The following is a 15,052-nucleotide window of genomic DNA, read 5'->3' on the forward strand; positions in this document are numbered from 1 at the left end:
TCACAAAACTAAAACTCAGGTCTATAGAAGATGAATTACTGCTACTCCTACAGCCAATGAGAAGCACATTTAAAATAGGGAGCTGCTATTTTCTGTAGTGGAGGAAGTGATTCTTCCTGTGTGGCTACGTTTAGCACATATAGCTTGGGACATGGATGGATTTATGCTTCTCTGTGCAGTGGGCTCTCTCCATAAATACCCAATGGTCTTTCATTTTACACTAGGAAAGACAAGCTACCAAAACGGAACACTTCTCACACACTCTTATCCTACTCCTACCAAAAGGAAGGAATATTTAGGGAAAATGATTTGAGGGGCTGGGACTCAAGACTCCTTGTGATAAAAAATTCTCACCTGCCCCTGCAGATTTTTGATAGGGGCCCTACGTCATCCCCCGCCCTTTCTCCTCCACACCCAGCTTCAGGCTCTGCAGAGGGACATGAATTTGAATTTTTGTTTGTTTGTTAGTTTATCAAGAAGAGGTATAGGTTTAGAAGGTTAAAGACTCTGGTCTAATGTTCTCCCCACTGTTCCCAGAAAAGCTCCCGTCAAGGACGGTGTCAATGACTGTGGAGAGGAAAGCACAGCCCTCTTTTACTTATTTATTCCATATATATTTTTAAAGCATTCACTATAGATGTCACTGTTCTAAGAGCTGGAGGCATAGTAGTGAACAAGACAGAAAAATTTTTTGGCTGGAATTGAGATGACAAATACACAAGTGAATATTTAATTTCATGTGGCAGTAAGTGTCATGAAGAAAAAGTAAGCATTGCAAAGGACAAGAGATTGACTTGGGGCAGAGCCAAGTGGCCATGAGACAGAGATGTGAACATGGAGTTGGGAGGTGGAGGAAGGACTCCAGGCACGGGTGTAGGGGGTGGGTGGAAGCAGCGCCAGAGCCCTAAGGCAGGAACAAGCTCGCTGGGTTCCAGAAGGTCAGAGCTCTCCATGTGTGGGTCATGGTTCCCTGGTGAGTGTCTAATAAGTAACAGGTGTTCCTGAGAAGGTGGCACACAGAGGTCAGAGGGCAGGGCTAGGGAAACACGGGAGTGAGGGCAAGAAGAAGGCCAGTGCGTCTGCAACAGAAGAGTCCAGAAACACGACAGAGGAAGTCAGAGAGCCAGGAGGGGCCGCCCTGGGCAAGGTCTGGCAGAGACTTGGCTATAAACACGATGATCTCAGCCACAGAGTGTAAGAGGGCAGCACAAAGGGAAGTAAAAACAAAGCCAAGGGCATATCCTTGTTGTTTCAGGCATTTAAATCTGATAAGAACTTGATAACTGGAGAGAATAAAAGCTACAGCTTGATGCCCCTTCTGTAATGACTCCAGTGATCAATGCTTTCATCATGCAAGTGAATCAGATCATATCACTATGAATGATAAAAATTGTGTTAAAGAATAGCCAGGTAAATCGACCTGTTTATAAAATGTATATGCCCAATTAGTCTATTGGAACAAAAATAGAATGTAAAACAAAAAATAAAAATACCCACCTAGGTGAGACAACTTCAACTTCAATCACCTAAAAGTGGCTCACGTATCCCACCCAGATCATCAGCTGTGTTGACTGTGGTGAGGAATAAGACAGAAATCCAGCCGGGTGTGGTGGCTCATGCTTCTAATGCCGGCACTTTGGGAGGCTGAGGCAGGAGGATCACTTGAGCCCAGGAGTCTGAGACCAGCCTGGGCAACACAGCAAAGCTCCATCTCTACAAAGAAAATTAAAATATTAGCTGGCTCAGTGGCACCACCTGTGGTCCCAGCTACTTGGGAGGCTCAGGTGGGAGGCTTGCTTGAGCCCGGGAGATCAAGGCTGTTGTGAGCCATGATCATGCCACTGCACTCCAGTCTGGGCAACAGAGTGAGACCTTGTCTCAAAAAGAAAGAAAAAGAAAAAAATAAAAAAAGGAAGACAGAAATGCATCGGAGTATGAGGTTGTGGTTTAGGGATGGGGAGTGTGGGGATGGGCTGTGGGAAGGGAGGCATACAGAAATGTATAAGGAGGCATGAGTCCTAACAAACTATTCCTGGGTTCTGGCTAGAGGTATTTTTGTGACGATCACACTGACCCCGGTGGGGTGGCATGGGGGGAGCATGGCCTGTTAATGGCTAGAAGTTTGGGTTTTCTTTCTGCTCCTGAAGGCTGAGGCTGCAAACCCAGAACACACACTTACTGAGTGGGGATCTCACTGCACTTTTTGCCTTCTCAATTCTCCTTGAGAAATGCAGCCCCACCTTTATTTCTTGAGTGTTCTAGAAGAGGTGGAAAACAGCCTGGACTGTAGTGGGGGTCAGCCCAGCATCAGTGTGGTAGTGAGCAGGGGTGGACTTCGGGAGCAAGAGCAGCGTTTGCCGCGGGGCTTGCACTCCCAGCAGCTCACCCGTCTCTGTCCTGACCCTCCCTACTGGGCACGCAGGGTCTCTGTAGCACTTGGCCGAGGCCTAGATACCCAGGGTTTCCCACTGGAAAGTCTCACCTGGGGCTCATGCTTCTCACCTGTACCTGTTAACTCCCACAAGGCACTCCTTACAGAACACCTCATGGAATTATTTAACCTCAGTTATTAAGAGCTAATAGGGACCCATAGTGTTATTTTCTCCAAGTAGCGAATAAGCTCTGATTTTAAGCAGGCCCATTACAGGGAGACAATATGGTGCGTGAAATGGCAGTGGTGTCAGGGGGCTAATTACTGGGGAGCTTGTCAAGCCACAGAACTGGCCTGCTAATCATTCCTTGGCTTATTGCAGCTGACGTCATGGGGCTTTCCCACAGTGCATATGGGAAAATGAAGGAGGCAATCACAAGTTTTAGTTAAAGTGCTTAAGTTACTACTTTCTGTAGCTAGCAGGACTATAAGTTTAAGCAAGTGCACCGAAAAGATAGAAGCGGAATCAATTCACTCCTAACTGACTTACCCAGTTGGAAAGGCAAATTCGTGGGAGTGAAGTTGTTCTACTGGTACTGTTTCCTTTACAGAGTTATCCTTCAGATGTGTTCAGAAGGATGGGGCAGGACACAGTGAATATTTGCAAAAGCTCTAGTACTGGCCTTTAAAGCTGTTATTCTTTTCAATCAATCCTCATCAAACCCTGCCTTGGTGCAAAAACCAGATGCAGACTATTGGGAGATCTATATACACAGGATAGACCCTGAACCACCAACAAGTACAGCCTGGGTTCGTGTGGACTCAGGACCATTCTACCGTTTCTCTGTTTCCCTGCTTCTTTGCTGCTGTTCACAGCCGGATCAGCTGAGCTACAGTTTGCACAGCTGCAACTGATTGGACTCCCAGTTGCCTTTTCCAGAACATGCAATTGGTGCCATAATCTACAAAAGAGATATTAACCCCACAACTGAGGAGATTAGGAGCAAAGAATGATAAGAATGAGGACAAGGTCAATCCAAGATGGATGGCGTTGAAGGCCTGTGGACACATCGCTCAGATAACTGAAGTTTTTACAGTAATTGGAAAGATTTGTGCATGTGGGGGAGGCTTCAGTCTAAAAGGGGAAATGAGTAAATGTTACAGTGGCTTGTTAGTAGTTAGAAGAATGAGCATGTGCAAATTGCTGTTTGGGATCAAATTAAGGCATATGGTATAAGATAGAAGTATGCTCAGTGGAGGCAGAAGCAATAAGCGGCACATTGATGAATTATGCCTTTGCTTATACTTCTATTTTCAGAATTTGCTTTAGGTCTTCCACTTGATTGTATCTTCAGTAATCATAAGTATTTGGTGGTCCTTCCTCTGATATGAAGCGTGACACTTGTGTGATAGAAAGAAACATGTTTATGACACAGAGCACTCAGGAGAGCCTGGCGCACTGCAGATGTTCAGTGGGTGTCCACGGTGGGACTGCTGTGCAGAGTACTCACATTTGAACATATGGGAAATCCAAAAATAAAAGGTTTTGAGGATGATTTACCATGTTGGATTACATAGGAAAACAGGCAGCCAAGTGGGGACACTGTCAGGATTCCGCCCTATTCTGAAACACCCACATATCCTCACAGCATCGTCCGAGGATGTGCCCTGGGAAGCCGACTTGATCAACCAATTCTGTTCCAATGCTTCTGGAGGTACGGTGTTAACATCAGAAACAATTTCTTAGGAAAGAATTTTATCTAAGCACCACAAGTTTCTTAATCCCCTTTTTTAAAAAAACAATTTTGATTCGAAATTAATTCCAGGGGAGACAGATATGGGTGTCCTGTTCAGTCATATAATCCTATGAAGACTTTCCATGGAAGCAAAGCAAAACAACGTATGATTTTCTAAGACAGTTTAGGGTTTTCTGCTATGCAGCTGAAATCTAGAAGAGTCGTTTTTGGAAAGAATCACTACAAACTACATGCTGTTTTGAATAGTCCATTGTTTCTCAAACACAGCCATAGGTTGTGCATGAGTAGATGGATGTATAGCCCCAGAAGGGATGGAAATACAATCCCAGAAGGGATGACGGTACAACCCCACAAGGATGGAGATGCACCCCCAAATGGGAGGCTCTGGATAACACGTACAGTTCCTATTAATGTTCATGACAAAACCTAAGCACTAGGCTGAAAATCAGCTTTGGTTTGCTCATCATCTTGGGTTGAAAGCCTCCTGTTGCACACATTCAGCTTGACTGCCACAGCATACTAATAGGTTTAAAAGAATTAGCTGATTACGTGGTTTTTTTTTTTTTTTTTTTTTTTTTAGAGGGAGTCTCGCTCTGTCATGCAATGGTGTGATCTTGGCTCACTGAGACCTCCACCTCCCAGGTTCAAGAGATTCTCCTGCCTCAGCCTCCCCGAGTAGCTGGGATTATAGGCACGTGCCACCACGCCTGGCTAATTTTTGTATTTTTTAGTAGAGACGGGGTTTCGCCATGTTGGCCAGGCTGGTCTCGAACTCCTGACCTCAAGGTGATTTGCCTGCCTCTGCTTCCCAAAGTGCTGGGATTACAGGTGTGAGCCACCACGCCCAGTAAGGTTTTAAAATTCCGCAGACAACACTGCAGATGTAGTTTCTCTTTCTTTTAGATGAAGGCTTCACAATGCTTTGAAGTAACTTGTCCTACAAAATATGGGTTGGGAATTACCAGCCTTTGGTACTCTTGTCCAAGGCAGTGTAACCATATGAATGGAAGAAGCTCAACTGCTTATTTCTAGGTTCTCATTCCTGCCACATTCCCTCAAACAGAGAGTTCCAGAAGAACATGGGTCAGAAAAGAGAGAACTGGTGAGCATGGCTGTTTTTACTTTTCCTAAAGTTTCCCCTAGAGCTGTTGGAATGGGTGAGAAATGGACAAATGCCTTTGAGCTCTCTCTGGAAAAGAGCAAGAAAAAGGGAAGGCAAAGGAAAAGTCAAGGAAGAGGTTGGAGAAGGGAAAGGCACAGGCTGCAATGAATGTCACCAGCTAACTCAGTAGCACTATTCCTACTAGAGCTTGCACAGTGCTGCACTGAGGTGTACAGGTGTACGAGAAAGCATTATCCTTTGTTTCATTGCTTTGACACAGCTCACAATGCAAGGTTTCTTAATCCTCTTTTAGCGTAGGTTTGTCAATATCACTTTCTCTCTGAATGGATAACGATGATGATGATTTGCCATGACTCTTCACAATTCCACCCAGCACTTCACTTTTCCTATTTTCGAGAGCACTTTCCCTTTCTGAAAACACAGATGGTTTACACTATTATATTAGGTCGTGGCTGTGACAGAAACCTTTTTTTCTTACCATAATTGCTTGGGGAGTTTTTCTGGCTGGAACACAGGTACAACTGAAAGCATGCCCTTGAGAGCTGAGCTTTTGTTAGAGTAAGGACTACAAAGGCATGGATTTATATTTTTAAAGACACCATGAACTGGTTTTATGTAGCTTTATTCCTTTGTCCTAAACTCCCTCCACTTCAAAAACCACCTGCAACTGTGGTTTGCAAATTAACTGCCTCTGACATCTGAAGAGGGGGAAAAAAGCCCTACAAAAATCTACAAAACCTCACTTGCTACCAGTATGAGGGTAAAGGAAAGCAAGGGAAAGAATATTTTTTAAAAATTTAGTATTGATTTTTAAAAAGAATTCTTTACTAGAAGATGTTATATACTTAGATAAATAACAATAGCATAGCAGCACCTTTCTGGAGATCATCTCCAATGATCCTGCCCAATCACTGAATCCAAAAGATTTCATTTAGTCAAGAAAACTAATATAAAAAAGGTGAAACCTGAAGGATATGCTGACATGAGATGTACTATTGCTTCCAGTAGGACCAAACCAATGAAACACTAGCTATTTCTTTATTAAAAATAGTTTCTTGGCTGGATATGGTGGCTCATTCCTGTAATCCCAGCATTTTGGGAGGCTAAGGTGGGAGGACTGCTTGAGACCAGCCTGGGCAATATAGTGAGACCTTGTCTCTAGAAAAAATTTTTAAAATTATCTGGGCATGGTGGCTTGTGCCTGTGGTCCTAGCTACTCAGGGGGCTGAAGTGGGAGGATTGCCTGAGCCCAGGAGGCTGATGCTGCAGTGAGCTGTGATTGCATCACTGCACTCCAGCCTGGGTGACACAGTGAGACCCTGTCTCAAATTTTTTTTTCTTTTATTATAAAAGCGAAACATGCACACCTCAGAACATTTGAAAACTAAAGTATAAGGAGAAAAACAAAACCATTTTGGTTCCAATATCAAAGATAATCACTTTAACATTCTAGTGCATTTCCTTCTAGTATTTTTTTTTTCCTGAGCAAAAATTCTTGACACATTCTGAGTTATGTGTGTATGTACAAAAACACACTATTTTGGATACTGTTCCCATGTCCTGTGGATTTCTAGTTTAATATAATACCAAAGTCCTCTCCTTTCCCATATTATTATAAACTTTTTTAAAACATTTGTGGCTGGGTGCAGTAGCTCGTGCCTTTAATCCCAGCACTTTGGGAGGCGGAGGTGGGCGGATTGCTTGAGGCCAGGAGTTCAAGACCAGCCTGGGCAACATAGAGAGGTGCCGTCTCTATAAAAATTTAAAAATTTTTTTAGAGAGTGGGTTGTTTCTTATGGCTTGGAGCGGTGCAAAGAGGGTGAGTTTGCCTTTTTTTTTTTTTTTTTTTTTTTAGTGGAAATTCAAAACAAGGAAGAGACCTCCATCCCAGCAGCTTTATACTATCTTGTAAGCCTTTTGGAATATGCTGCATTTCAAAAGAAAACTAGAAAAAAATAGAAAGAATATATGTTGATGCAAATCCTCTATAGATTTTCTCATAGTTTTATATTCACTCTAGAAATGTGATCAGCAGTCCATGAAATCTCTTTAGTTAGATGTTTATAGACAGAGATTTGAGACCAGGTTAGTACCAAGGTTGTATTAGCCCCACTTAGTTATCACAGGTAAGAGAGGGAACAGGAAAGAAGGGTGGGTAGGAATTTCACCTCCACGGGGCTTTGGACAAGAAAGTGCAGAGAAAGAACACGAAGTGGATGAACAGCCTGAGAAAGAAAAGGAAGGCTTTCTCTGCAGAAGTTAGCACTTACCAGTCTCTTGGATTCTTGCTATCACCCATTTCTAGAGGTTCTTTTTTTTCCAAGTAAGAAGTTATTGAAACTTTGTTCCTCAAAGTGGTTTGGGGTGACATGTGACCACCCCACTGTCTCTGAAATGAAGTGGTTTATTTTCAGGTGACTGAAAAAACAGTAAAGAATTTTATGCTTCTGTGGAGACATCAGAGTCATCCCAGAAAGCTACAGCGTTCACTGGAGCAGCAAATTTCCAGAGGAAATCTTATGTTCTCACCTCTCAATTAACAGATATTCATGGGGCAAATTCTATGTACAAGAACTATAGATTTTGTGTTTAGATGGCTAATTGCTGAACCACTGCAAAGCTACAAAGTGACTGGTATTTAAAGTCTTTAACTCCTTGTAGGGTCACAAGGTAGTAGCTGAGATCTTATATTAGAGTGGTAGGAAGTAGGAACTTCAAGACTGCTACGTGCCAAAGTCAAGTGCTTGCATCCTATTTATTTAACTAATTTAGAAAGTGTTATGGGCTTTTGGATTGTGAGTTTCTCGTTCTCTTTTTCTGAGAACGAGAACAGCTCTTCATGTTTCAGGTTACCAATTTTTAAATAAAAAGAAAGTTGCTTTAATTTGTGTCAGTTTAACCTGGATTTATGTCAACATTCTTTTTATTTAAAGGGATATAGCAAATGCACCATTAATAAAACCAGAAAAGGCCCGGTGCAGCGGCTCATGCCTATAATCCCAGCACTTTGGGAGGCTGAGGTGGGCGGATCACGAGGTCAGGAGCTCGAGACCAGCCTGGCCAAGATGGTGAAACCCCGTCTCTATTAAAAATACAAAAATTAGCCAGGAGTGGTCTTATATCAATAAGAGGCACTGTGTGCTGGGTACAGTGGCTCAGTGTAACTTTGACTGGCCTCCCCTTTGTGACTGTCCATGTGAAAGTTGGGTCATGTTTGATGGGGGCATTTCTAGGATGCGTGGAAGAAATATTTTTTGTATTCAACAAGCAGATGATGTTATATGATGGAGATGAAACAGTGCCTGCCCAACTATCCACCTCTAAGGAAACCGCCTTGCCCAAAACCCCCACTGACAGAATTGTGGCCATTTGTGTCACTGGAATCTCAGAAGGAGGAGGATGAAAAAGTAGCCACAGAAATAATGACTGAAAATGGCCAGGCACGGTGGCTCACGCCTGTAATCCCAGCACTTTGGGGGGTCGAGGCGGGTGGATCGCCTGAGGTCAGGAGTTCGAGACCAGCCTGGCCAACATGGTGAAACCCTGTCTCTAGTAAAAATACAAAAATTAGCTGGGTGTGGTGGCAGGTGCCTGTAATCCCAGCTACTCAGGAGGCTGAGGCAGGAGAATCTCTTGAACCCGGGAGGTGGAGGTTGCAGTGAGCCGAGATTGCGCCACTGCACTCCAGCCTGGGGGACGAGAGTGAGACTTTGTCTGAAAAAAAAAAAAAAAAAAAGAAATAATGGCTGAAAATTTCTCAAATTTGGCAATTTGGGAAAAAAATACAAGCAAATCCAATAGACTTTCCTTCTCTAAAAGTTTCTAAATTATATTTGACATTTGAAGCAGAAAGTATAACATTGTGTGATGTAACTCTTCATGTATGTGTAGGAAATATTTAAGATAATTTTAAGTTGGAGAGGGCAAAGAGACTTGAAGGGAGGTAAGGTTTCTATACTTCATCCAACTGGCAAAATGTGGATACTAGGAGATCTTTGTGGTGATGGAATGGTTCTACATCTTGATTATAGTGGTGGATACAGAAATCTACACGTGATAAAATTATGGACTATTTGGCCAGGTGCGGTGGCTCGCACCTGTAATCCCAGCACTTTGGGAGGCCGGGGTGGGCGGATCACGAGGTCAGGAGATCAAGACCTGATACAGCAAAACCCTGTCTCTACTAAAAATACAAAAAATTAGCCGGGTGTGGTGGCGGGCACCTGTAATCCCAGCTACTAGGAGGCTGAGGCAGGAGAATGGCATGAACCTGGGAGGCAGAGCTTGCAGTGAGCTGAGAGCGCGCCACTGCACTCCAGCCTGGGCGACAGAGCAAGACTCTGTCTCAAAAAAAAAAAAAAAAAAAAAAGAAAGAAAGAACTATTCATGCACATTGTAACAATGTCAATGTCTTGGTTTTGATATTGTTGAGATGTAACTGTTGGGGAAACTGTGTGAGGGGTACAGGGACCTCTATGTACTATCTTTGTAATTTCCTATAAATCTATAATTGTTTCTAATTAACAAGATAAAAATAAAAGACAATTGAAAGAAGTTTCTTGAAAATGATAAAAGCAAACATCAAAGTATCATTGTGATTCTCTGGCCATAATCAACATTTTAGAAAAGAGAAAGGTTTTCAAAAGCAACATAGTGGATGAGATGGACTCACCAATTTTCATAAATTTTAAAATTTCATTATGGGACAAATATGTAATGGAATAAGAAAGTTAGGTGAAAAAGACATTTAAGGTTGGATTTGAAGAGAGACAGGATGGCAGTCTTATCCAGAAATTCAGGATGAACTTCCGTCTTGATTAGATCTGATACTTCTTGTCAGACATACATCTCTACAGCATGAAACTGGTTAACCAATGTCAAGTGTAATAATATTATGTACCCTTTTGAAACCACAGAATATTCTAGGGATAAAAGCTAATTAAACTTTGACAGTTTGTCATATATTAGAGATAACTTAGACTAGTTATCTTCTTCCATAAGTTTAATTAGAAGTTATAGAATTAGAATTAGTATTCTCAGTAATATTGATAATTGGAAGAAAAAGGTAAAACAAAATAAAAATTCTCTTGTATGTTGGTGGAAATTGCATGTCAGTAGGACACCAGCAGATGGCAAAGAAAGCTTTCAAAATGTTGATAGTTACATGATCATTGATTTGTCATTAAAATAAATGTGAGACTGTTTCAAATGCCGTTATAGTAAAATCATGGTACTATTCATTTTGGTCTTCTCTATTTTTAATCAAGGACACTTGGCAGCAGGAAAGTTTTGCCCTGAAAACTTGACAGAAAGTCAGTGGCAGTAGGTGTAGACAGAAATGCAAAACTTCAGGTCTTGGATTTACCACCTGGAGCTGAATAATGTTGCTCTTAAAGTGGCTTTGCAGCATTGTCCAACTGCCAGTGTTAATTACATGGACAATTTCCAACCGCTATTAGTTTGCTATATTTGTTAACATTTAATATGAACTGGATCAGACAACTCTGGATTATGAAGGCTTTTTTAAATGGCAGTTTCTTCCATCATAAAAGTGCTTATGGGCCAGGCACAGTGGCTTATACCTATAATCCTAGCACTTTGGGAGGCTGAGGCAGGAGGACTGGTTTAGCCCAGGAGTTTGAGATCAGCCTGGGCAACATACTAAGACCTTGTCTCTACAAAAAAAAAAAAAAAAAAAAATTAGCTGGGCCTGGTATAATCTCAGCTATACTGGGGGCTGAGTTGAGAGGATTACTGGATTGCTCGAGCACAGGATGTTGAGGCTGCAGTGAGCTGGGATTGCACCACTGTACTCTAGCCTGAGTGGCAGAGTGAGACTCTGCCTCCAGAAAAAAAAAGGTGTCTGTGGAGGTATCATAAAGACAAAAGTGAATGATAAAGATTCACATTGAGAGAGCCTGTTTTTCTAGTTTGTGTTTTCTGATTGACCTTTGTAACTGAGTTGCTATTGTTCACATCTTTGCTCTACAGTTCAAGCAAGAGACCAGTCAGATCAGAATTACATTAGTTTAGTATTTTTTTACTTAACCCAAGGGCACAGACATCTGACCACTTCATCAGCCTCAAAACAGAATTTGCCACCTGCTTAATTTACGCATGAGTTGGCAAAAATTATTTTCTCCATTTAGTGCTGTCTGACAACACCATGACTAGATCAGGGGATTGGATATTTGATCTTCCAAATCCGCATAATGTGAAAACGACTAAGTGTAACAGGAAATTTTAAACCCAGAGAGTATTTTCTTTTCATAGGCTTTTAAAAAAATTTAATTTCAGTCTAGTTTTTTTCATCTTTTTCTTTAAACAGATATTTCACAGACAAACCAACATGAGAGGCCATGTCAATAATATGTGAACAAATGTTTCTTTAAAAAAGAGAATTTTTTAGAAACTGATATAGAAAATACAGATTTCAAATATGGCAGGAAGCTAAATGCATATTTGCGAGAGGAAAGAATGAAAGAAAAAAGCTCCTAGGCCTTTTATTCTATAAATGGATTTGTATTAAATTATTTCAGATTATACCATAGTTTCCAAGGCATTTATTGGTGATTACAGAGAGAATTTCACTTACTAGCTGTGTGGCCTGGTCAAGTTGTGTAACCTCTCTAAGTCTTACATTTTTTTTTCTCTGTTTGATTTAAATGATAATATCATGTGCAAGTCATAGAGTATTCATTACGGTTACATTAGACAATGTATGCAGCTGTTTGTATGCTTGTCAAATAATAAGTGCTTAAAGGTTAGCTATTATCATTATTATTAAACTAAGCCACATTGAGAGATTTAAAATCAAAGCCAAAGTAGGGCATTCTAATTTGTAATTTGCATAATGCTTCCTTGTGAATGATCTCATGTGAACCTTACAACAGCCTTTAAGGCCAGTGTGCCAGAAAACCCTGGAAGCCCCTTCACTGTTTGCCATGCAATAACCCCGAATGTGGGCAAAGGTGGACTTGCTTGTTGGCTGTCTGTGAGGCATAGCCCCTCAAGGTTGGCACTCCGTTCCCAAGAGGTGATTTATGTACTTCAAAACAACTGCAGGAGATGGAAGCACATGGTATTCTTCAGATTTTAAATCTTGCTCTGTGCCTGATAGGACTTTTGCATTTTTATGACTTCCTAATATTATAGAGGAATCCTACCTCGAGTGCCCCACAGAAGAAAGGAGAAGTTATAACCAAAAGTCTCCTGCAAATCATCACTGTCAGTTTCCTTCAATGTAACAGCAGACAAGGATAAGTTGCCTCACAAAAGGAGTAGGTTGTGTCATAAATCTTGCTCTTTTTTCTTTCGTCTGAGCCTGCAAGGGTGGAAGTACGCGATGTCTCCAGTTCCACTTGGAGAGATTCAAAGAAGGAAAACTCATTAGCAGAGGGACAAGGAACCAGTCCAGGCAATATCTGAATATTTATTATTTGATTTTATCTTGAATAGAAAAGAAAGGTGCTTTGTTCAGAAAGCTTCTGATTGATATCTGTCCCTTTGACTTCTGAACCTTTGCCTCCCTGCTTTATAACAAGGATCTATTAATTAACTTGGTGCTTGGCAGAAAGAACTGAGCTTTCCCCGAACTCTAAGAATTCTCCAAAAATGGTCATTAATGCTGGGAAGAGGATCAGCATTGTAATCTCATTTTATACATGAAGAAACTGAAGTTCAGATTAACTTCATACTCAAGCAATAAATAATTTGTAGAGCCGGGCACCGAAGGAACAAAGGGCTGTTTACTGAGAGACCTGAGCTTCTTATTCTGACTTTGCCTCCTGTTGGAGGTTCACCACTTTGGGCCTTAGTTTCCTTACCTTTGAATGGGTTTGATGAATTAGATAGGTGCAGCAGACTTTCTCTGTAAAGGGCCACATCATAAATGTATTTGGCTTTGTGGGCCAAAACATTCCTGCAGAGACTACTCTGCAGGAACTATTCAACTCTGCTTTTAAAAGAGGGAACTATTCGCTGAAACTTCTGTTTACAGATAGCAGGTAAACAAATGGGTGTGAGTTATGCCTGATGACAGTTAATTTACAAAAACAGGCAGCAGGTTGGACTTGGTCCATAGGGTATGTTTGCAGACCACTAGACTGGATGATGTAGAAGTTTGTTTATAACTGCTAATATTTGATGACTCAGCTTGTTTTAATAGCAATGCTATTTTCCCTAGGAAAGTCAGCTTGATTATTCAATCGTCTGTGGCTTGTGCAGTTTGTGGAGTACTTAAAGATTTTTCTGCAGCTTTTCCTTTCTTCTTCCATTTTTGAATGCCTGCTGTGTGTATTGCAATTACAAATTATTATCTTAATGTCATTCTGCTTAGGGTTTAGGGTTTGTGTGGGGGGGGAGTGGGGAGCAAGGTGTGTGGGATTGGAGTGTGGAGTGCATGAAGGTGGGTGAGGTGTGGTCTCCTGGGTAGGATGACTGACTTGGAATGAAGACCCAAACCCTTAGGAGAACTTTCTGAATGTTAGTTCTGACCTCAGATGATCAACAGATTAGCTGCTTTTGCTATATTAAGCAAGGCTTGAGCAAGTGTTTCAGAGCTGCCAGGAATGGGGGAGGGTGTAAGGTAGGAAGATGGAAGAATGTGTCTCAACTTAGAGGAAAATATGATTTCTCCTGTTACAAAAATCAAACTGTAAATACTTCTGTTACTGTGGTCCCAAGCTACATCCAAGAGGGTAAGCACTGCTTTCCCATGGGGGACACTGTACCCTAGGTTCTTACTCCCCTTCCTGAACTATGTGAAGGAGAGGAGAACAGTTCAACTCCATCATTGTTTAATAAATTCCTCTAATAAGAGAATTAGAGTATTGGTGGGGCATAGTGGCTCACACCTGTAATCCTAGCACTTTGGGATGTTGAGGTGGGAGGATCACTTGAACTCTGGAGTTTGAGACCAGCCTGAGCAACATAGCAAGTCTTCGTCTCTACCTCTACAAATTGTTTTTTAAAAATTAGCCGGGCACAGTGGCATGTGCCTGTGGTCCCAGCTACTCTAGAGGTTGAGGTGAGAGGATCACTTGGGTCTGGGAGGTTAAGGCTGCAGTGAGCCATAATCACACCACTGCACTGCAGCCTGGGCAACAGAGCAAAATATAGCACACAGGCCAAACTTTAAGAGTAACAGTGTGGCAAATGAACCTATTTACTCTTTATAAAACTTGTATTATTGCTACACAAAGCTTCTTTGGAATTTCAAAGTGAAGAATTTTCTTAAAAGACCAGAGAATCTGTTGGGTGTGGTGGCTCATGCCTGTAATCTCAGAACTTTGGGAGGCCAAGGCGGGTGGATCACTGGAGCCCAGGAGTTTGAGACCAGCCTGGCCAACATGGTGAAACCCCATCTCTACCAAAAATACAAAAAATTATCCGGGTGTGGTGGCATGTGCCTGTAATCCCAGCTACTCAGGAGGCTGAGGTGGGAGGATCACTTGAGGCGGAGGTTGCAGTGAGCCATGATTGCACCATTGCACTCCAGCCTGGGTGACAGAGCAAGATCCCATCTCAAAAAATGAAAAAAAAATTAGCCAGGCGTGGTGATGTGCACCTGTATTCCCAGCTACCTGAGTTCAGGAGGCTGAGGTGGAGGATCGCAGTCCAGGAGCTGGAGGCTGCAGTAAGTTATAATCATACCACTGCACTCCAGCCTAGGTGACACAGGGAAACTCTGTCTCAAAAAAAAAAAAAACCCAACCAAACAGAAAAACCCACCAGAGAATATATATCATGATAGCTTGCCTACTTCTGTCAAGGAGCATTATTTCTATTCAAATGTTATAT

The 15,052-nt window shown here is 41.9% G+C and overlaps 1 protein-coding gene across 36 annotated transcripts in view; it reads right to left on the minus strand.

Moving 5' to 3' along the window:
- DLGAP1 (DLG associated protein 1) overlaps positions 1–15,052 on the minus strand; it is a 959,276-nt gene that overhangs the window by 213,927 nt on the left and 730,297 nt on the right. The window contains exon 8 of one of the 36 annotated variants that reach the window (XM_047437935.1): positions 11,800–12,611. The exons of the other annotated variants lie outside the window; for them this stretch is intronic. Coding sequence (XP_047293891.1) covers positions 12,490–12,611 — 122 coding nt within the window. The 3' untranslated portion in view covers positions 11,800–12,489. Of the gene's footprint in view, positions 1–11,799; positions 12,612–15,052 lie in introns of those variants that run through there. 36 annotated transcript variants of the gene reach the window in all.

Source organism: Homo sapiens, chromosome 18 (genome assembly GCF_000001405.40).
Source record: "Homo sapiens chromosome 18, GRCh38.p14 Primary Assembly".
NCBI lineage: Eukaryota > Metazoa > Chordata > Mammalia > Primates > Hominidae > Homo > Homo sapiens.